The sequence below is a fragment of the Homo sapiens genome, chromosome 2 (genome assembly GCF_000001405.40).
Source record: "Homo sapiens chromosome 2, GRCh38.p14 Primary Assembly".
Taxonomy (NCBI): Eukaryota; Metazoa; Chordata; class Mammalia; order Primates; family Hominidae; genus Homo; species Homo sapiens.
Genome location: NC_000002.12, coordinates 132,387,528 through 132,411,685, shown reverse-complemented (window position 1 = coordinate 132,411,685; position 24,158 = coordinate 132,387,528). Strand labels below are relative to the sequence as shown.

At 42.6% G+C, this 24,158-nt stretch overlaps 1 pseudogene, besides 1 other annotated feature; it reads left to right on the top strand.

The window, feature by feature from the left end:
- On the top strand, window positions 4,828–4,934 carry RNU6-175P (RNA, U6 small nuclear 175, pseudogene; annotated as a pseudogene).
- Window positions 7,937–8,487: an enhancer, noted in NCBI's record as "NANOG-H3K27ac hESC enhancer chr2:133160772-133161322 (GRCh37/hg19 assembly coordinates)". NCBI's record gives its function as "activates a minimal SCP1, AML or CMV promoter by ChIP-STARR-seq in naive H9 embryonic stem cells {active_cell/tissue: H9 hESC(naive)}" and the evidence as "EXISTENCE:reporter gene assay evidence [ECO:0000049][PMID:30033119]".

Sequence of the window (24,158 nt, the reverse complement as noted above, 5' to 3'; positions counted from 1 at the left end):
ACACTTGAAATATGGCTAGTCCAAACTGAAATGTCCCTGAAATATAAAATGCAGACCAGATTTCTAAGAATTTGTATGAAAAAAAGAATGTAAATTATCTCGTGAATAGTTTTTATATATTGATTTCATGTTGAAATGATCATATTTTGCTATAATGGATTAAATAAAATATATTATTAAAAATAATTTTACCTTTTTTTACTTTTTTTTTTTTTGAGACGGAGTCTCACTACGTCACCCAGGCTGGAATGCAATGGCACGATCTCGGCTCACTGCAACCTCCACCTCCTGGGTTCAAGTGATTCTCCTGTCTCAGCCTCCCAAGTAGTTAGGATTACAGGCACCCACCACCACGCCGGATAATTTTTATATTTTTAGTAGAGAGGGGTTTCGCCATGTTGGTCAGGCTGGTCTCGAAATCCTGACCTTGGGTGATTCACCTGCCTCAGCCTCCCAAAATGCTGGGATTACAGGTGTGAGCCACTGCGCCCAGCCTTTTACTTTTTTAATGTGGCTACTATTACATTTTAAGTTTTGTGTGGCTTGCCTTTGTGGCTACTAGGAGCGATATCCTAGAAGCTATAAAGGAAAAGTTTGATGAACTTTATTTAACAAAAATGTAAAAGTTCTGCAAGGCAAGTGATATGGTTTGGCTGTGTCCCCACCCAAACCTCATCTTGATTGGTAGCTCGCATAATTCCTCTGTGTCATGGGTGAGACCCAGTGGGAGGTAATTGAATCATGGGGTGGGTTTTTCCCAGGCTGTTCACATGATAGTGAATAAGTTTCATGAGATCTGATGGTTTTATAAAGGGCAGTTCCCCTGCACATGCGCTCTTGCCTGCCACCATGTAAGATATGCCTTTGCTCCTCCTTCACCTTCTGCTATGATTATGAGGCCTCCTCAGCCATGTGGAACTATGAGTCAATTAAACCTCTTTTTCTTTGTAAATTACCCAGTCTCGGGTATTTCTTCATAGCAGTAAGAAAATGGACCAATAGAGCAAGAAAGACTGTGGATAAAGATAAATAACAAATGACAGCTTATAGAATATATATGCAATTGATTTTACACAGTAATGAGTAACTTCCATAATGAACTCAAAGCAGATAAAAACATACATTTCTTCCCAAAATTGATCTATAGATTCAATGTAATTAAAATTTCAACAGATTTTTCTGTAAACACTTGGCAAGCTCATTCTAAATTTACAGAGAAATGTCAAGAGCCAAGAATGAGCAAGATACTCTTAGGAGATGAGAGGACCCACTCTACCAGATACCAAGACTTATTATAAACCTGTAGTTTACAAGGCAGTGTGGTTTTGACATGGGGATAGACAAAGAGAGGAATGAAACAGAAGAGATAGCAGTGAAATAAATCCATATGTGTATGACCAGGATTTATGACAGCGATGGCCTCGTGAGCCAGGGCAGAAAAGATGGGCTTTTCCATTGGTGTAGTAATCAACCAACTCTCTAGCGGAAAATGCCCTGATTTATATCGCATTTGCCAGTTTCCATGGTATCAACACTGTGGCTGACTTTGAGCTACCAGCAATTTCACAACCTACTCAGAAAACTCCTGAAATTTTAACAATCAACTCTCATGGACTTCAGGACACCACTCTTTTCAATAGATGCCTCTTGAGACAATCAAGAATCTATCTGGATAAAATTCATTAAGGAAAAGGTGAACAACCCCATTTTCTAAATGGGCCAAAGAAATAAACAGGCCCTTCATAAAAGAGAAAATCCAGATGGACAAAAAACAATGAAAAGTTACCCAACCTCTTTAGTAATCAGAGAAATGCAAATTAAAATCACAATTAAGTACAACCACACACCAACCAGACTGGCTAACATTTAGACAACCAGTACCATCTGTCCATGAAGCTGTGAAATGATGGTGACTCTTGTACCTTGAGGATAAAGAGCAAATTTATGCAACCACTTCGGAAGAGTTTGGCAGGGTCTACTAGAGTTATTCATAGACACACATATATCCTGTGACCCAGCAATTCCTCTCCTAGGTATATACCCCAGAATGCATATAAAAGAATGTTCATAGCAACATTGTCAGTAATTACACCAACCTGAAAAACACCCAAATGGCCATCTAAAGGAGAATAGATAAACAAAGTGTTGCATATCCATATAAAGAGCTACTAGAAAGCCATGAAAACTAATAAACTGTTACTTCCAAAACAATACGGTTAAATCTTACAACCATAATGATGCCTGAAAGAAGTGAGACACAAAAGATCATGTTGGAGTGCATTTATATAAGATTCAAAAACAGACAAAATCATAATATTTAGAAATATATAGATTTTATATGTGGATATATAGGTCATATGAAGAGAGTACATATATACAATTCATACATATATTTACTTAAAAGCAAATGTGTCGTTTCCATGAAAGGATCAAGGTCAGCTTTTGTGGGTTGGGGAAGGTGCATGACTGGTAAGGACCCATGGGGTGGGGTGTCAGCTTCTGAGTGTTGACAATATTCTATTTCTTAACCAGGGAAGTAGTTCCATGGTAGCAATTACATGATACTTTGCTTTATTATTTTTCCTTATGCAGTTGCTTATGGTTTATGGGTTTCTGTGTGTCATATTTCATAATACTTTAAAACAAAACTTTCTTAAAAAAGGAAGAACACCCGTGTTGCCAGATGGCTCAGCTGAATCAACCCCGCTTTTCACTCAGTGGGATGACAGTTGCAGCCACTCATTCTCACATTGTCAATAGCAGTATCAACTCCCATTAGTAAACACCTACTGTGTACCAGACACTTGCTGGTTCAATTTGCAAATTCCTACCTACATGTCTGTAAAACACCCACCATGTGTCTCTTCTCGTCTACCCAAGAGGTGGTCCATGGCCAGCAGCCTGTAGCTTGACTGTCCACATTCCTTGCAGGGCTCACTGGCAAGATGAGTGTAGGAGCAAAGACAAGTCAGACCCTGAGAAGCCATTAATATGTAACTGGGAGACTTCCTTCCTCCCCCTCTCCCTCCCTTCCTCCTTTCCTCCCTTCCTCCTTTCCTCCCTTCCTTCCTTTCTCCCTCCCTCCCCACTGGAATGCCATCTGGTAGACAGCCTAAGGATCCAGCCTTCTGGATATCAAGGAAAAGGCTGAAGGAGGTCCTGTGACAAATGGCAGGTCTTTACGAAAACTTCCAGCTTCACAACCTTAATAAGTTGATGGTCATTCCTGGGCCCTGATGGAATGCTGTGCCACTTTGATTCTTAGGTGAGCCCTAGCTGAGAGGCTTCAGATTTCTTCTTAAGAAATCATGTTCTTTTTCAAATCAACATTTTATGTGTTGCTTTCCCTTTCTTTCCTCATCTAATAAAAGGGATCAAAAAAAAAGGAAAGTGTCCCATTGGCTAGGTAAGGCACAGCTGATAAATTATGGTTTCTGCTCAGCACATACCTTTTTTTTTCCTATAAGTTGGCTATAAGCTGCAAAGCAGGGAGTCTCCCTGGTACCTATTAGGCATTCCATTTCTTAGCCTCTGGGAGCAGAGTGGCCATTCAGTCTAGGGAAAGACAAACACCAGTGTATTCATCCCCGTTTCCCCCCATCTTATGCTAGGAACCATCTTCTACCTGGGCTGCTCCCAATCTCATGCCCTGCACATTGCAAGCTCAAAGCACAGGGAAACAGCAGGGCCAACTTGTCGTCTCTCCTTGCTTCTCCCTTATCTTTACCCTTATGAAAAAACAAATACCCCTGGACCTTGGTCTCCTTATCTTAATACTCCAAGCAAAATACAAACTCTTTTTTTTTCTCACCTGGCACTATTTTCCCAGCCTATTTGGGAAGAAACCATGCATATCCCCAGGCACAACTGTCCCTAAATATAGTGATGTTCAGCCTTGATGGAAAATGGGAGGGTCTTCTTATAAAGTAGCCTATGATCCACCATCTCTTGCTATGTAAATCTACATAAATCAATTCAGGATTGGCATTCTATTTGCCTCTGACTCTTCTGAGAGTGCTGTGGCATGATGATTGAGAGGACAGACTTGGAAATCAGATCTTCTGGGTTTGAAATGGGGCTCTACCACTCACTTAGCTTATTTGTGCCTTAGTTTTTTTATCTGTAAAATACAGATAACAGTAGTACTCATCTCTTGGGCTTGTGGTGAGATTAAACGAGTTTACATTAAAAAGTGCCTGGTATATAGTATTTCCTTATATGTAGGTTAGCTCTTTGAAAAAAGAGCATTATAACTCAGTAAGTAGAACACATTTTCTGGAGCTAAACTGCTTGTGTTTGAGTCTGCTCCTCCCTAGAGATGTAACCTTGGGCACATTTCTTAATCTCTCTATGCTTTAGGTTCCTCATCTGTAAACTTAAAAATAAGTAACAAGACCCCTCCCTCAAAGGATTGTTTGCAGGACCAGATGACATCTTATAGCTAAAACACTTAAAACAATGCTAGGCACACACAAAGTTCTAGGCAAGCTTTAATTGTCATTGATGTCATGCTCACAGTCGATGAGCTGCTGTGGTCATACTGTTGAAAATAAGGCACATTCTAAACATTCCAGGTACCACTAGAGTTGAGCTAGTATTGTTTGAATGCTCTGTCTTACTGTATTCCACTGAATTTAAAGCAACTGATACCAGATAAGCATATTCTTTCTAGAAAGTACTGTAGAGATTATAAGGTAGTAAGACACTTACTCCTCTGAAGGAGCTTATCTGCAATTCAAGCCAGAAGCATGTAAATTGTTGGATGGCAACAATTGCCAGTCAAGAAAACAATCCCATTTATAGTAGCATCAAAAAGAATATAATACTGTGCTCACTTTGGCAGCACATATACTAAAATTGAAAAGATACAAAGAAGATTAGCATGACCTCTGTGCAAGGATGACATGCAAATTTGTGAAGTGTTGCATTTAAAATGTTTAAAAATTTTAATTAAAAAAGAATACAGTACTTATGAATAAATTTAACCAAGGAAGTAAAAGATCCGAACCTTATATGAAAACCATAAAACATTGGTGAAAGAAATAGAAAACTACACAAATTAATGGAAAGATATCTCATATTCATGAGTTGAAAGAATTAATATTGTTAAAATGGCCATGCTACCCAAAGCAATATACAGATTTAACATAATCTCTATCAAAATTCCAGTGGCATTTTTCACAGAAATATGAAAAACAATTCTAAAACTCATGTGGAACTACAGAACACCCTAAATAGCCAAAACAATCTTGAAAAAGAAAAACAAAGCTGGAGGCATCACACTTCCTGATTTCAAATTATATTACAAAGTTAGAGTAATCAAAGCACTATGGTACTGGCATAAAAACCGACATGTAGACCAACGGACCAGAACAGAGCACCCAGAAATAAACCCATGCATATATGGTCAACTAATTTTAGACAAGGCCACCAAAAATATACAATGGGGAAAGAACAATCTTTTCAATCAATGGCATTGGGAAAAGTGGATAGCTACGTGCAAAAGAATAAAACTGGACCCTTATTTTACACTACACACAAAATTCAACCTAAAATGAATAAAAGACGTGAACGTAAGACCTGAAACCATAAAATTGTAGAAGAAAATATAGTGAAAAGCTCCTTGATATTGGCCTCGGCAGTGAATGTTTTTAGATATCACACTGAAAGCTCAGGCAATAAAAGCAAAAGAAAACAAGTGGATCTCATCAAACAAAAGTTTCTGCATACCAAACAAAACAATTAATAAAATGAAAAGGCATCCTACAGACTGAGAGAAAATATTTGTAAACCATATATCTGATAAGGGGTTAATATCCAAAATATATAAGGAATTTAAACAACTCAACAGCAAACAAACAAACAGATAACCTGAATTTAAAATAGACAAAGGACTTGTATAAACATTTTTCCAAAGAAGATGTAAAAATGGCCAACAGGTATAGGAAAAGGTGTTCAATACCATTAATCTTCAGGGAAATGCAAATCAAAACCACGATGAAATATCACCTCACACCTGTTAGAATGGCTTTTATCAAAAAGACAAAGATAAAAATTGTTGGTGAGGATGTGGAGAAAAGGGAAGCCTCCTACACTGTTGGTGGGAGTCTAAACTGGTACAGCCATTATGGAAAACTATGAAAGTTCCTCAGAAAATAAAAATAGAACTACCATATGATCCAGCAACCCCTATGCTGGGTATGAACCAAAAGGAAATGAAATCAGCACCTTGTAAAGGCATCTGTCTCCCATGTTCACTGCAGCATTATTCACAAGAGCCAAGACATGGAAACAACCTACATGTCAGTTGATGAATGACTGGAAAACAAATTGTGGTGTATATACAATGGAATATTATTCAGCATAAAAAAGGAGATACTGATATTGACAACAACATGGATGAATCTGGATGATAATATGCTAAGTGGAATAAGCTGGATACAGAAAGAAAAATACCTCATGATCTCACTCATATGTGGAATCTAAAATAAAGTCAAAAATATAGAGAGAGTAGAACAGTAGTTACCAGTGGGGAGTAAATGGGGAGAAGTAGATCAAATGATACAAAGTTATAGTTATATAGGGATGAATAGGTCTAGGGATCTAATGTACAGCATGAGGACTATAGTTGACAATATTGTATTATATGCTGAAAATTTGCTAAGATAGATTTTAGGTGCTCTTAACCACCCACAAAAAATGAGGCAACCACATAGGGTGATAGGTATGTTAATCTGCTTGACTAGTAATCAACTCACTGTGGATATATAGATATATATATCTATATATCCAAACTTTAAGTTGTGCACATGAAAGAAAAGAAGGAAGGAAGGAAGGAAGGAAGGAAGGAAGGAAGGAAGGAAGGAAGGAAGGAAGGAAGGAAGGAAAGAAAGAAAAGAAAGAAAGAAAGAAAGAAAGAAAGAAAGAAAGAAAGAAAGAAAGAAAGAAAGAAAAGAAAAAGAAAGGAAGAAGGAAGGAAGGAAAGAAGGAAGGGAGGAAGGGAGGAAGGAAGCAAGGAAGGAAGGAAATTGCCAAATTAATATCTTTGTATGTTAATTGTAGAAAGTGCTAGATACAAGAGAAACAAAATTCCTGATCTCTGACAATGAGAATGGGTGTATGACACACAGGGAATCTTACAGTTAAGATGTTTCATTCAGCAAAATTCCCTGTTTCCAAACAGAGCACTTAACACAGAATTCACTGAACAACAGGGACTCTGTATTCTCCAACTTTATCTTCACTCAGTATAAGCTTCAGGTTGTTTGCAGAGCTGTGGCAAACAAGTGGCAAGAGGCCTGCTTAAATACATAGTTTGTGGCCTTATGATACTTTTTCTAAGCGCAAAACGAAATGGCCACTCTAAGGGGGATTGCAAGCGTGAGCTTAATTGCGTTAGCACTGGGCGTGTGCCGACGGAGTTAATCAGCTTATTGGACAGGCCTCAGAAGGAGCAGCATCATCCCTGCCACTCCCACCCCCCCATCTCAGTGGTTTCATTGTGAAAACTTTCTAGTGCATTGAGAAACCGAACAAACAAACAAACAAATTAAAAACACATCAATTTCCTGAAGTCAGCTACCTGAAGCCACAGTTCATTATTTTTTAAAGTGCAAGCAGATCCTGTCCTACAAATGAATATACTTAGCACTAGCCACTCCAGTGTTCAGACCCTCATTGCCTTTGCCATTAGAGCTTGCAGCTTTTAAGAAATCTCTGGTGGGGCTCCAAATTTCAGAAATGGAAAAAAACTGTGAACGGCAGAACCAGCTTAGGTAGCTGCATCAAGCACTTAGGCTGAGCCAACCTGTCTGCTGGTTGATGTCTGCCTTTCTCTCTCAGCTCACATTATAGATGAAATGTGCATTTGTGGGCCTGGCCTGGCACTGTTATTCTATGGGAAAATGTGTGTTCTTAGTTCCAGACTTTTGAACGCAGACCATTTCAAGTCGGGAGCAAGAGGAAGGATTGTGTATTAATTACAATGTCTTCCCTGTATTCCTGCAACCATCTTCTCTCCATTGGGGAACATCTGTGGTTTGACAAATATGGGAAAGAGCACACTGTCTCAGGATTCCTCCCAACAACTGCCTTATGGCCAGAAACAAATTTCTCACTGTTGCAAGGAGAGAAGTCATCAAAGAATGGAGGACAGAGACGAAGGACACTCATCCAAAACTCAGTGGCAGCTTCTCCCCATCTGTGTCTCAGAAAAACAGTCAAAGCCAATTAGTGTGTCCTCACCTCGAATTCTTCAAACAGGCTAGATAGAGACCCTGCAGAGAAAGGCCACAATTTTGAATGGAAGTGACTAGCACCTTGGGGTCTGTGAATGCAAATTGCATTCTGTCTGGATCCAGCATCCCTTGGCAGATGGAATCAGCATTAGGTGTGACGTGTTCAGCAAGAATCAACACGGTGGATTTGGCCTCTTCTTTGAGCTGTTGGGCAATAAGCCCAGAGTCAATCTAGATGTGCTCTGACAATTTTGATACTCAGTGCTGTCACCAGTGTAGCCCATCACAGGCCACCCCATTATCACCTGCCCAAGTGAGATGCAGGTTTGTGCCAGCTGGGAGACAGGCAAGAAGCATGTCCAGTGTGGTCTGATTTGCCATCATTATTTGCTTGGGCAAATAGACACTTGGATTTCAAGTACTGAGGTGCTATCAAATGCAGAGCCCTGACATTTGAGGAAGGTTTTTTTTTTCTTTTTTTTGGAAATGGAGTCTTGCTCTGTCACCAGGCTGGTGTGCAGGGGCGTGATCTCGGCTCACTGTAACCTCCGCCTCCCAGGTTCACGCCATTCTCCTGCCTCAGCCTCCCAAGTAGCGGGGACTACAGGTGCATGCCACCACACCCAGGTAATTTTTGTATTTTTTTCAGTAGAGATGGGGTTTCACCATGTTGGCCAGGATGGCCTCAATCTCTTGACCTCGTGATCCTCCCACCTTGGCCTACCAAAGTGCTGGGATTACAGGCATGAGCCACCGTGCCCAGCCAGAGGGAGGTTTCTTTTTTCAAAAGATCTCTAAGGGCTGGATGCAGTGGGTCACACCTGTAATCCCAACACTTTGGGAGGCTGAGGCGAGAGGATGACTTAAACCCAGGAGTTTGAGACCAGGCTGGGACACATAGTGAGACCACATCAAATAAAATAAAATATAAAATAAAATAAAAAGACATGATGATGCTACCTGTTAGTCTTGCAGACCTGCTGGGGATGATGAACCTACATATGTGGAACCCTGGGGGAGGATCAGCAACTAGTATGCCAATTGCTTCTAGAGGAAAAATAGAGCAAACCCTTTTCTTAAAAAAAAAATTTTACTTTAAGCTCGGAGATACATATGCAGAAGGTGCAGGTTTGTTACATAGATATACGTGTACCGTGGTGGTTTGCTGCACCTATTGACCCATCATCTAGGTTCCCTCCACTCACGCCCCCTACCCCCTAACAGGCCCCAGTGAGTGATGTTTCCCTCCTTGTGTTCGTGTGTTCTCACGGTTCAACTCCCATTTAGGAGTGAGAACATGTGGTGTTTGGTTTTCTGTTCCTGTGTTAGTTTGCTGAGAATGATGGCTTCCAGCTTCATCCATGTCCCTGCAAAGGACATGATCTCATTCCTTTTTATGGCTGCATAGTATCCCATGGTGTATTCGTGCCACATTTTCTTTATCCAGTCTATCATTGATGGGCATTTGGGTTGGTTCCATGTCTTAGAGCAAACTCTTTACTAAGACATTCAAGACCCCTTCCAATTTGGCCTCATCCAACTTTTCAACCTTCCATCTACTATGTGTGGCAGATTATATTTTCCAATGGTGGCCGCTCCAATGTATTTACACACACACACACTATACATGGAAAATATATAGCATATGTATATATCGCATATATAAAAAATGTGTTTCATCCCAAATGGTCTTATTACAATGTTCCTCACACTCTTCTCACTGAGAAGTGGATTCTGGGTTTCCGCTCCTTGAATCTGAGTAGGGGCTATGGTGTAGTGATGCTGTGTAACTTCCAAGGGTATGTCAGCCAAAGGGTACAGCTTCTTCCTGGTTTGCTCTTTTTAGGATATACATCTCAGGAGCCCTGAGCTGGTACAAAAAACTGCAGTTGCCCTGAGGCTGCCATACTGGAGACACCATGCAGGGAGCCCTCATAGAGTCAGATATTCAAGGTGCCTCAGCTATTCAAATCCCTAGCTCTTTGAGTCTTCCCAGCTCATGAGTGAGCAAGCCTTCATATGATTATAGCCTCAGTCTTCAGGCCACCCCAGTCGATGCCATATGAACCAGAATGAGCTGATCCTGTTGAGCCCTGTTTAAATTCCAGATTTATGAGCAAAACAAATGTGTTAATGTTTTAAGGCATTAAATTTTTGATGGCTTGTTACACAGCCATAAATAACTGAAATACCACATGTCCCAACACTATACTCCAAGTATGGACCACTCACTGAACCCAAAACCTCCTGTTCATTTATTCCTTCCCACTCTGTCCTACCCACACCGTGAATGTCCCCTCTGCCTAAAATTCCTTTGCCCTCTCTATTTATTCATTTTCCATTCCTGCATTCAACAAATACTTGTGAAACACCTACTGTAGGGTTACTATGATGAATAAAACACGTTCTCTGCCCTCAGGAATCTCATAGTTTAGTCTTAGTAGGACAGAAGCAAATTGCCAAACTGATGTGGCTGGCTGTGTAATGCTAGAGATACCACCAAATGATAGCCACCCTTCAAAGTCCATTTCAAATCCTACTTCCTCCAGAATGTCTTCCCTGTACATCTCAAATCATACTCCTTTCTCTCTATATTGAGATATTCAGTGATGTGCTGAAGTTGCTTCATATCAGCTCATGAAAGCTAACTGTACATATCTCTTCTCAATTCTGTGTTCAGTACTTCACATTAGTAGTTTGAAATTAATCATTGTGGGAGTGTTTACACCATGGAAATTGGCAAAGACTATATCAGCACATCCCCCCCACCCCAGCTTTTCTTTTTGGAGTGCTGGTTTTTAAACACTGACCATTATGCCTCTGGAGATACCTCTCACTTGGTAACCATCAGGGGTTAACTTTTGGGATAGATGCCATTACACCAAAAAATAAACGCATCCTCTGGGAATAAAGCTGCTTTAGAAAATAATTGGATGTGTTGGTGGAAAGATGATAAGGACTTCCTAAAACATGTAGAGCAGTGCTGGCAGTGAGTCATTTGGCTCTGTTATGGACAGTTTGCTGGCTGCTGGATTTTCTTTCTTTTTTAAGAATGATGTTGCAAAATTTTTACAAGCCTGTCAAGGTGGTTAGTAGATAAGCTTAAGCAACTCCCAGGGCTTCAGTAGTCAGAGGCGGTGGAGAAATCTACTTGCTGCCTCCTGGTGTCTGGCCACTCAAGTAATAGACAAGGGAATCACTTGTGCAACTCCTGCCTGCTCAGCTCTCACACCTGCTTCACCATCACACCTGCAACAGGGATATGGGGTTTTTCCTTACAGAAGTTTCCTTAAATGGCAAATGAAAACATTTTCTGGCTCCCATGGATTTAATTGTGGTTCCCTCCCCCAAAATATAAGTTGAAGTCCTAACCCCCGGTACCTGTAAATATGACCTTATTTGGAAATAGGGACTCTGCAAATATAATCAAGATGAAATCATTAGGATGGGTTCTAATCCAATACAACTGGTGCCTTTATAAGAAGAGGGGAGACGTTAAAGACAAACATGAACAGAGGAAAGGCTATGTGAAGACAGACACGCCAAGTAAGCTTTTATTTATTTATTTATTTATTTAATTTTTTTAACAAAAACAGGCTGTGGGCTGGGTTTGGCACATGGGCTGTTGTTAGCCAACTCCGACCCAGATTCTTCCCCTTAAGTAATGAAGTGCTCATTTCCTCAATACTCCCTCAATGGGAGGACTGGTGACTGCCAACTCTCAGTTGAGTCCCTCTCCAGTTTAGATGAAGAGAGCTGCTTCATCCAAAATCAGACACCCTCCTGAGGGCAGCCTGGATCCAATGACTGGTAGAGCCTTAACTGAGAACAATTCAAAGAGGCCATCCCTACTCCCAGTGAGATCGACAGACCTTGGCTGTGATGTGGCAAATTCTGCCACTGCCCCTGCCTAATTCTTTCTTCATTCCTTACCAAGTGTTGTTCCAAAGACACTCCCCCAACAAACTTCATGCATGGCACCCAGTGCCTAAAATAAAAATTTCAGAAGGAGAGGGAAAACAGAAGGCAGCTAATATTTGAAGAAATAATTAATAAAGACATCCCAGAAAAAAAAGGTGGAAAAAACTGGAATGAAAGAGTCAGATAAATATTGCAAAGGATAATGAAGAAAACCTCACTATTTTGACATCAGCTGAGTGTATTACACCTCTATTTCAGCATGAACCACCTGGAATTAGTACAGGTTCCACAAGGTAAGGGGTTCAGTCCTCTCTAAGACTGTCCTGATTTCAGACACAAGCAGCAAGTTCAGGGGTCCCCAGGTTATCCACACTTCTGATTGACTGGCTACAAATTTCGAAGTTCCACAATGCCCTCAGGTTCAATCATTTGTTAAAATGACTCACAGACCTAGAAAAGTGCTATACTTATGATTACAATTTTATTAAGCATACATATCAGGAAGAGACAAATGAAAAGATGCATAGGATGAGGTCTGGGAGGGTCCTAAACACAAAACTTACGTGACCTTTCCCTGTAGAATCAGGACACATCATCCTTCCAGCACAATAATGTGTTCACCAACTGGTGAAGCTCCACTGAGTTTGGTGTCTAGTTTTTACTAAGGTTTCCTTGTATAGGTATGATTGATTAAACCACTAGGCACATGATTGAACTGAATCTCCAGCCACCACGCCCCTTCCTGGAGGTCAGGCTGGCTCAAAATCCTACCTTGTGGCTGGTCTTTCTGGTGACCAGCCCCTACCTTGAAGCTATGTATGGGCCTACCAGGAGTCACCTCATTACCATAACAAACCCACTGCTATCACCCAGGAAACTCCATGGGTTTTAGAAGCTCCATGCCAAGAACCCAGGACAAAGACCAGACAAATTATTTATTATCTTTGAGGCAGGCAAAGCACTTGAGGTCAGGAGTTCCAGATCAGCCTGGTCAATATGGTGAAACCTCATCTCTATTAAAAATACAAAAATTAGCCAGGCACGGTGGCATGTGCCTGTATTCCCAGCTATTTGGGAGGCTGAGGCAGGAGAATTGCTTGAACCTGGGAGGCAGAGGTTGCAGTGAGCCAAGACCATACCACTGCACTCCAGCCTGCGTGAGAAAGCAAGACTCTGTCTCCAAAAAAAAAAAAAAAAAAAAAAAAAAAAAAAATATATATATATATATATATATATATTTTGAAATCCAGCTCCGCCACCTTACCTCAGGGTCATAACCTCGGTGATCCTCAATTTCCTCGTATGTAAACTAGGAGTAATGCCTACCTCAGAGAGAGGAGGTGAGGATTCTTTGAGATAAGGTATATAATGCATAATAGCAGATGCAATGCATAATCCTTACTAAATAATGGTTTCTTTATTTTCCAAAAAGTGACAATGACTTCCCAAGGACAGGGAGAGGAGTTGGGTCACAATTAGGGGACCTCAAAGCAGACACAGATGAGACATGGTGTCTGCCACACCCAAAAGCCCTTTCTAATCAAGGTGTTCAGGAAAACAGCTCTATGTGATTCTTTGGGCATGGGTAGGTGGTCATTGAATAAACTGTGTGTGCACAAGGCTCATTCCTTAGCCTAGCCAAAGATCCTTGAGGCTTTCTACCCAACAAACGATTAGTAATGAACCAAATCAAAATCCAAGCCAGGTTGCCGGAGCAGGAAATCAGCCAAAGCAGGAGAGAAGTAGTGATGCCAAGTTACAGAGCCCATGTGAGCCACGAGAAAAAGACCAAATCCATCCTGAAAGACAGAAACCATTGCGAAAGCCACCCTGTTTCTTGACTAGCTTTCCAGATCCAGGAGCAGCTCAAGTGTTTCCTAGCCATAAGTCCTTTTTCTCTCAGTTGGCTAGAATCAGTCTGTTTCTTGGAACCAAGGAAACTTGTGTATACATTCTGTAATATACCTTAATAAAAAGGAATGTGGCCGGCCCTCCATATCCATGGGTTCCACATCTGTGGGTTCAATGAAGCAGACCAAAAATACTCAAAAAAATAAAAACGAAAAACTAACAATACAACAATAAAAAAATACAGACTTTAAAAATACAGTATAAGAACTATTTACATAGCATTTACATTGTTTTAGTCATTAGAAGTAATCTAGAAATGGTTTAAAGCAGGGGTCCCCAGCCCCAAGGCCACAGCCAGGGACTGGTCTGTGGCCTGTTAGGAACTGGGCTGCACAGCAGAAGGCGAGCCGAGGGCAAGCAAGCAAGAAAGGGAAGCTTCATCTGCATTTACAGCTGCCCCCCTTCACCCACATTACTGCCTGAGCTCTGCCTCCTGTCAGATCAGCAGCAGCGTTAGATTCTCATAGGAGCATGAACTCTATTGTGAACTGCTCATGTGAGGGATCCAGGTTGTGTGCTCCTTATGAGAATCTAATGCCTGATGGTCTGTCACTGTCTCCCATCACCCCCAGATGGAACAGAACATCTAGTTGCTGGAAAACAAGCTCAGAGCTCCTACTGATTCTACTTTAGGATGAGTTGTATAATTATTTCCTTATATATTACAATGTAATAATAATAGAAAATAAGTGCACTGTAAATGTAATACACTTGAATCATTTCAAAACCATCTCCCCACCCCGGTGCATGGAAACATTGTCTTTCATGAACCCAGTCCCTGGTGTCAAAAAAATTGGGGATCACTGATTTAAAGTATACAGAATGATGTGCTTAGGTTAGAGACAAATATTACACCATTTTATATGAGGGACTTGAGCATCCTCAGATCTTGGTGTCTGAAGGAGGTCCTGAAACCAATCTCCCACAGATACCAAGGAACGACTATATAGACTTTGCTCTCCTCTTTGAGAAAAATATGTGTACATTTTGGACTGGGCCATCACTAACTATCCACAGAGGTACATGAGAAAAATGACCTGAGACCACCTCAAACATCACCCAACAGAAAACATATATCCAAAGAGCAATAATATGATTCACTTTATGCAGAAACACTGAGTGTTTACCAGGTTCTTTCTCTTCTACGCAGCATGTGAATCTCCTTCCTAGTTCCTGGACTCCACCATGGAGTCTTGGTGGTGGGAGAGGCACAGCTAGTCACAACACACAGATCTTCTCTCTTCCTACCTTCTGGCATTGAGGGTGTGCACATATGACTTCAGCTTAGCCAACTGAAGGCTTCTACAGGGACTCTAAACCATAAATGAGTGACAGATATACAAAAGCACATATCAATGATTAGCAGTGACAGCCATGCATAGCAATGGTAACTGCACTGACTGCCAGGGGGAGATTATGATGGGGGAGGGGCCTCAGAAGCAATGAGTGGTACAGTGAGGGGTGTACAGAAGTACATGAGTGATATAGATGGGGATGTTCAACAGTGATATAGATGGGGCATATAGTGGGGGGTACTCAAGAGTAATGAGGGGTGTGACTCACGCCTGTAATCTCAACACTTTGGGAGGCCGAGGTGGGTGGATCACAGGGTGAGGAGTTCGAGATCAGCCTAACCAATATGGTGAAATCCTGCCTCTACTAAAAATACAAAATTTAGCCAGGGGTGGTGGCGTGCACCTGTAATCCCAGCTACTCAGGAGGCTTAGGCAGGAAAATCACTTGAATCCGGGAAGTGGGGGTTGCGGAGAGCTAAGATCATGCCACTGTACTCCAGCCTGGGCAATAGAGTGAAACTCTGTCACCAAAAAAAAAAAAAAAAAAAAGTAGTGAGGGGTACAGTGGGGGGTGTTCAGGAATAGTGAGTGTGTTCAAGGGCAGTAAGGAGTACAGTGGGGTGTTCAGGAGCAGGGGGTACAGTGGGGGTGTCTAGGAGCAGCAGGAGGTATAGTGGGGCTGTTCAGGAGTAGTGGGGGATGTTCAGGAGCACTAGTGGGTACAGTGGGAAGTGTTCAGGAGCACTACGGGTACAGAGGGAGTGTTCAGGAGCAGTGGAGTGTTCAGGAGTACTGGGGTGTTCAGGAGCACTTAATGATATAGTGGGTAGGTGTTCAGGAGCAGAGGGGATGTTCAGGAGTAGTCGGGGATAGAGTGAGGGGTGTTCAAGAGCAGCGGATGGTACAGTAGGCCTGTTTAGGAGTAGTGAGGCAATATTCAGGAACAATGGTGATTACAGTGTGGGGTGTTCAGAAGCAGTTGGGGGTAGGGCGAATGGTGTTCAGGAGCAGTGGGGGGATATTTGGGGATAGTGGTTACAGTGGGGGATATTCCGGAGCACTGAGAGGTACAGTGAGGGTGTTCAGGAGCAATGGGGGATATAGTGTGGGGGTGTTCGTGAGCAGTAGAGGGTACAGTTGAGGTGTTCAGAAGCAGCAGGTGGTACAGTTAGAGGTTTTCAGGAACAGTCGGGGGAAGAGTAGAAATGTTGAGGAGCAGTGAGTATATAGTGGGGAGTGTTCAGAAGCAGTGGGGGTGCAGTGAAGGGGTGACCAGAAACAGTAGGGGGTACAGTGGGGGTGTTCAGGAACAGTGACTGATCCAGTGGGGTGCTCAGGAGCAGTGAGTATACAGCGGGGGTGCTCAGGAGCAGTGGGGGAAATAGTAGGAGGATGTTCAGGAGCAGTAAAGGGTACAGTGAGGTGTTTTTAGGAGTAGTCAGGGTACAATGGAGAGTGTTCAAGAGCAGTGCAGGGTACAGTGGCCGTGTTCAGAAGCAGTGAGGGAGGGGTGAGTTCAAGAGAAATGGGGGGTGTTCAGGAACAGTGGGGGATATAGCAGGGGTGTTCAGGAGCAGTGGGAAGTACAGTGGGGTGTTCAGGAGCAGTGGGAAGTACAGTGGGGTGTTCAGGAGCAGTGGGAAGTACAGTGGGGTGTTCAGGAGCAGTGGGAAGTACAGTGGGGTGTTCAGGAGCAGTGGGAAGTACAGTGGGGTGTTCAGGAGCAGTGGGAAGTACAGTGGGGTGTTCAGGAGCAGTGGGAAGTACAGTGGGGTGTTCAGGAGCAGTGGGAAGTACAGTGGGGTGTTCAGGAGCAGTGGGAAGTACAGTGGGGTGTTCAGGAGCAGTGGGAAGTACAGTGGGGTGTTCAGGAGCAGTGGGAAGTACAGTGGGGTGTTCAGGAGCAGTGGGAAGTACAGTGGGGTGTTCAGGAGCAGTGGGAAGTACAGTGGGGTGTTCAGGAGCAGTGGGAAGTACAGTGGGGGTGTTCAGGAGCAGTGGGAAGTACAGTGGGGTGTTCAGGAGCAGTGGGAAGTACAGTGGGTTGTTCAGGAGCAGTGGGAAGTACAGTGGGGGTGTTCAGGAGCAGTGGGAAGTACAGTGGGGTGTTCAGGAGCAGTGGGAAGTACAGTGGGGGTGTTCAGGAGCAGTGGGAAGTACAGTGGGGTTGTTCAGGAGCAGTGGGAAGTACAGTGGGGGTGTTCAGGAGCAGTGGGAAGTACAGTGGGGTGTTCAGGAGCAGTGGGAAGTACAGTGGGGTGTTCAGGAGCAGTGGGAAGTACAGTGGGGTGTTCAGGAGCAGTGGGAAGTACAGTGGGGTGTTCAGGAGCAGTGGGAAGTACAGTGGGGTTGTTCAGGAGCAGTGGGAAGTACAGTGGGGTGTTCAGGAGCAGTGGGAAGTACAGTAGGGTGTTCAGGAGCAGTGGGAAGTACAGTGGGGTGTTCAGGAGCAGTGGGAAGTACAGTGGGGGTGTTCAGGAGGAGTAGGAGATACACTGAAGTGTTTTCAGGAGTAGTCAGGGTACAGTGGAGGTGTTCGGGAGCAGTGGGGGTGTTCAGGAACAGTGGTGGTTATGGCAGTGGGGGTGTTCAGTAATAGTATGGGGTTGCAGTGGAGGGTGCTCAGGAGAAGTGGGAAGTACTCTGGGGGTTGTTTAGGAGCAGCTGGAAGTACAGTGGGAGGTGATCAGGAGCATGAGGTGGGACACAGTGGGAGGTGATTGGGGCAGAGGTGGGACACAGTGGAAGGTGATCAGGAGCAGAGGGGAGCACAGTGGGATGTGATCAGGAGCAGAGGGGGGACACAGTGGAAGGTGATCAGGAGCCAGGGATCCAATGGGGGTCTCTGGAGCAGTGGGGAGTACAATGGGATTGTTCAGGAGCAGTGGGGTGTAATGGGGGTATTCAGAAGCTATAGGAGGTATGGTGGTACAGTGGGGGAGGTTCTCAGGAGCAAGGGGGGAATGCAGTAAATTCTATTTGCTATAGCAAGCCCATTAACAGAGGCCTTAGACATATCTCTAATGCTTTCAATGGTTCTGCACGATTTTCCAGCGGTGTGCTGGTAAACTGACTCCTAAAAAAGCCCCAATTTGTAGCGTTGCTGATTTTTGTCATCTAAATATTCCCACCACAGTGAATTTCCACATCCACATGACTTCACTGGAGCTTCCTATGTGATGCCACTGAATGAAGAGTTAAGAGGAGATTCTAGCAATTGGCTGGTATGAGCCGGCTCCAGCTCTCCACTGTTTATTTCCCTTTAACAGATGATGTGTCAGAATCTCAAAGAATCTCCTTGGGATGGCTTCATTGGCAGAATATAAAATGCTGACTGCACTTCCTTTAAAAAAATAAGGAAAACTTAATGTTGCACATAAAAAGAAGGCTGGAAGCGTCTCGCTTCCAAGACTCTTTCATGTCACTCCCAATATTCATCTTCGAAACCTTAGTTCCTTCCCTCTTTTCTTCTGCCATCCCAGGGTGCCAGCTTAGCACTCCTAATAGAGACAGCTGTCTCACTTCCAGGTACCTAGCCTAGAAAAGACAATATCCAATAATAAGAAGAAAAGAAATAGTTTCTTCCTGGGTATCTTTTTAACAAAAAGAAAATCAGATTTTAATACAGTTTTACCATCTCTGCATATTTCACTGGGCTCAGGGAGCCCACATACCATGGCTTACACACAGAGAAAGTGGGATTTTCTTTCTCTGCACAGGAAGAAAAACATTCTTTGCTTGCATAGTTGTTTTCACCAATGTCCCCTGACCTTTCAGCAGTATTTTAAATGTCCCTGGATCTCAGACACATGGAGACATGAGGGGTAAGGAGAACTGCCACCTGTTCTTTTTATCACTAGCCACCACGTGACTTCTTTCTCAGTTGTAGAATGGAAAGAGGATTGCATTCTTTTTTTTTTTTTTTTAGAGGAAGTCTCACTGTGTCTCCCCAGGCTGGAATGCAGTGGTGCATTCTCAGCTAATTGTAGCCTCCTCCTCCTGGGTTAATGTGATTCTCCTGCATCAGCCTCCTGGGTAGCTGGGATTACAGGCATGTGCCACCACACCTCGCTAATTTGTTTGTGTTTTTAGTAGAGATGGGGTTTTACCATGTTGACCAGGCTGGTGTCCGACTCCTGACCTCAAGTGATCCACCCGCCTCAGTCTCTCAAAGTGCTGGGATCACAGATGTGAGCCACCACACCCAGCCAGGTATTACATTCTATGACTTCATATTTCTACACTTAAACCTAGCCTAGGATCTTAAAAAGTTAAGTCTGGATCATGGAAAGTGAAATAATTAATGCAATGCACCAAGCCCAGTGTTAGAAGTGGACCAAATCTTACTTCCTTTCCTCTCCCTTCCCCTCCCTAACCTTCCCCAGTTCTGTGAAATATCTGCATTTTCTTTTCTTTTTTTTTCTTTTAAAGTACAAGAGTATAACAAAACAAAAAGTAAGCCTCTCCTGAAAATGTAACCCATTATTAAGGAGAAAATGGTGCTTGTGGAAGCTGTGGAGGAAACCTCCGATCACCATTGACACTCTGCTTTCCTGCCTTTGTTTAGTTGCTGGTTGTGATTGTTAATAAGGAAGCTCCAGAGAGTTGAGTTGCTTCCTTTGCTGCTAATGATAGAAATAACAGCTCCAATTTGATGTGACAGGATTGCAGAGTGCCACCAGGCACATGCCCCATTCTTGTCACTTCCAGACTCCTAAAAAACTCCGTGACAATCTGCCTTGTCAGCAGATTCTACCTTGTCCCGTTTGTCAGGGTGGCCTGCCTGTGCATCCATCCATTGCCAACTCCCTGGCAGGCCTCGTCCTGGGCACTGCAAGGGAGACAACACTGACAACTCATTGTAAAAAGTCATGTTTGAAGACAAGGCTTCTGGGATTGAGGCAGTACAATAGTGTGGAAACTACAAGGCTTTGACACCCAGTGACCTTGGGCTTAGGAAGCAGCTGCCATTGCCAAGCACCCACTACAAATGACCTTAAATATCCTCAATCACCATAAGTAATGCTACAACCATCACACAGGTGTGAAGGCCCAGGGATGTTCCATGTGTGCCCACAGCCACCCTGCCAACCCAGGATTTGATTCAGAGCTGCCCCACAGTAAAGTCAAGTCTCCATTGCTCTCTGAGTTTAATCCTAGCATGAGACCTTGAGGGGAAAGATGAGGGTACCAAGAGCTTTGTGGGGGTCATCAGCCAACAGTCAATTGGGGGACCACAGGAATGCAAGAAGCATCTCAGGGAGAAGGTCCAGAGAGAAAAGCAGAAGGCCAAAGCCTAAAGATGGGATTTATTGGTCACAGGAGAAAGGATCTGGGGAATACAGATGAACTAGAAGAGAGGTGAGAAAGGCTCGGAGAAGAGAGTTATGGTCCACCCTTGTTTTGAGATTTCAAATGAGGAGTGGGGGATGATGGAATGATTTGTCCGCTACAGTCAAGTAGTTTCAGCTAAGTGCTAATTTCATGAACTTACAAACTGACATGCCTCCAGGGCCCAGGCAGGTGAGCATCACCAAAGGATGTAGCTGGCAAAAAACAATAGGGAGGGGTGGGGACTGCAGAGAACCTATATCTGTCCAAAAGGAGCATCCAGCACTCAAGTCCAGCTGACTGCAGCCAAATCTCACAATTGTTTCAGAGGGAGCTGGAACTCTCCGTCTTTCTTTTCTTTTTTTTGAGATGGAGTCTTGCTCTGTCGCCTAGGCTTGAGTGCAGTGACGTGATCTTGGCTCACTGCAACCTCCGCCTCCCAGGTTCAAGTGATTCTCCTGCCTCAGCTTCCCGAGTAGCTGGGATTACAAGCACCCATCACTGCGCTCAGCTAATTTTTTTAGTAGAGATGGGGTTTCACCATGTTGGGCAGGCCGGTCTCGAACTCCTGCCCTCAGGTGATCTGCCTCCCTCGGCCTCCCAAAGTACTGGGATTACAGGCATGAGCCCCACTGCACCTGGCCTCCAAGTTTTTCATGTTCTGCCAACAAGACAGTTCAATAGCTTGGAAGCAGCCTGCAGGCCACAAGTTTGCTGGCTCTGCCTTACCTGAAACCTTTGGACCCTCAGGAAATGTAAACACCAGCCCCAACATTTCACAGGTGCTGAGGAGTCCCAAGCCTAAGGCTAAATACTAGTTTTCCTTATACACCTTTTAAATTAGAGGAAAGTATGCATGTGCTACTTCTGTATTGTGATCTGATTTGGCAAAGCAGAACTTTGTGTTGGAAGTAATGAGTGTTAAATCATGACTCTACCAGAGAAAAATGGCACTAATGAGGGTGGATGTTAGGATGAAGGTCAAAAGCAACACTGCAATTGCAGGTTGGTGCCAAAGGCTGGAAATAGGGCATTTTGAACAACTTTGTGATCAAGGGGTTTACTAGAAAGGATAAAACATGGGTAACAATCAGTATCATGTAGAGTGGGACTTTCATTTTTTTTTTCCTCTCACCTTTCTCTCTTAATAGGTGCATATTGGGGTAGAATAACCACCCAGTGCTTTTTGAACTAGTCAAAATGTTTTAAAAAAACAAAAACCCACAACCTAATCTAAAGACAGTCATCACTTAGTAAGCCATGGGAGCATGATTAAAGCCCTCAGGAAAATCGGCATAGAAGGGACATACTTCAGTGTAATAACATACTTCAAGCCATCTATGACAAACCCACAGCCAACATAATACTGAATGGCAAAAAGTTGAAAGCATTCCCTCTGAGAACTGGAACAAGACAAGGATGCCCACACTCACCACTTCTATTCAACATAGTACTGGAAGTCCTAGCCAGAGTGATCAGACAAGAGAAAGAAATAAAGGGCATCCAAATCAGTAAAGAGGAAGTCAAACTGTTGCTGTTTGCTGATGATATGATTGTATACCTAGAAAACCCTAATGACACCTCCAGAAAGCTCCAAGAACTGGTAAATGAATTCAGTAAAGTTTCAGGATACAAAATTAATGTACATGAATCAGCAGCTCTGCTATATACCAACAGAGACCAACCCGAGAATCAAATCAAGAACTCAATCCCTTTTCCAATAGGTGCAAAAAATAAAATAAAATAAAATAAAATACTTAGGAGTATACCGAGACAAGGAGATGAAAGACCTCTACAAGGAAAACAACAAAACACTGCTGAAAGAAATCACAGACAAAACAAACAAATGGAAACACATACCATGCTCATGGATGGGTAGAACCAATACTGTGAAAATGACCATACTGCCAAAAGCAATCTACAAATTAATGCATTCCCATCAAAATGCCACCAGCATTCTTCAAAGAAGTAGAAAAAACAACTAAGATTCATATGGAACCAAAAAAGAGCCTGCATAGCCAAAGCAAGACTAACCAAAAAGAACAAATCTGGAGATATCACATTACCTGATTTGAAAGTATACTATAAGGCCATAGTCACCAAAACAGCATGGTATAAGAATAGGCACATAGACCAATGGAACAGAATAGGGAACCCAGAAATAAACCCAAATACTTACAGCCAACTGATCCTTGACAAAGCAAACAAAAGCATGAAGTGGGGGAAAGGACACCCTATTCAACAAATGGTGCTGTGATAATTGGCTAGCCACATGTAGGAGAATGAAACTGGATCCTCATCTCTCACCTGACACAAAAATCAACTCAAGATGGTTCAAGGACTTAAATCTAAGACCTGAAACTAAAAATTCTAGAAGATAACATTGGAAAGACCCTTCTAGACATTGGCTTAGGCAAAGACTTCATGACCAAGAACCCAAAAGCAAATGCAACAAAAACAAAGATAAAAAGATAAATCAGTGGGACTTAATTAAACTAAAGAGCTTCTGCGCTGTAAAAGGAACAGTCGGGAGGGTAAATAGACAACCCAAAGAACGAGAGAAAATATTCACAATCTATACATTCTACAATCTATACATTCAACAGAGGGCTACTATCTAGAATGTACAAGGAACTCAAACAAATTAGCAAGAAAAAACAAATAATCCCATCAAAAAGTGGGCTAAGGATATGAATAGACAATTTTCAAAAGAAGAGATAAAAATGGCCAAGAAACATGAAAAAATGCTCAACATCACTAATAATCAGGAAAATGCAAATCAAAACCACAATACGATACCACCTCATTCCTGCAAGAATGGCATAAAAAAAAAATAGTACATGCTGGTATAGATGTGGTGAAAAGGGAACACTTCTACACTGCTGATGGGAATGTAAACTAGTATAACAACTATGGAAAACAGTGTGGAGTTTTTTTAAAGAACTAAAAGTAGAACTACCATTTGATCCAGCAATCCCACTACTGTGTATCTACCCAGAGGAAAAGAAGTCATTATACGAAAAAGATTCTCAAACATGCATGTTTATAGCAGCACAATTTGTAAATGCAAAAATATGGAAGCAGCCCAAATGCCCATTAATCAACAAGTGAATAAAGGAAATGTGGTATGATGTGTACACACACACACACACATACACAATGGAATACTACTAGGCCATAAAAAGGAATAAATTAATGGCATTTGCAGCAACCTAGATGGAATTGGAGACTATTATTCTAAATGAAGTAACTTAGGAATGGAAAACCAAACATTGTGTGTTCTCACTCATAAGTGGGAGCTAAACTATGAGGATGCAAAGGCATAACAATGATACAATGGACTTTGGGGACTTGGGGGAAAGGGTCGGTGGGGTGAGAGATAAAAGACTACAAATTGGGTTCAGTGTATACTACCATGGTGATGGGTGCACCAAAATCTCACAAATCACCACTAAAGAACTTA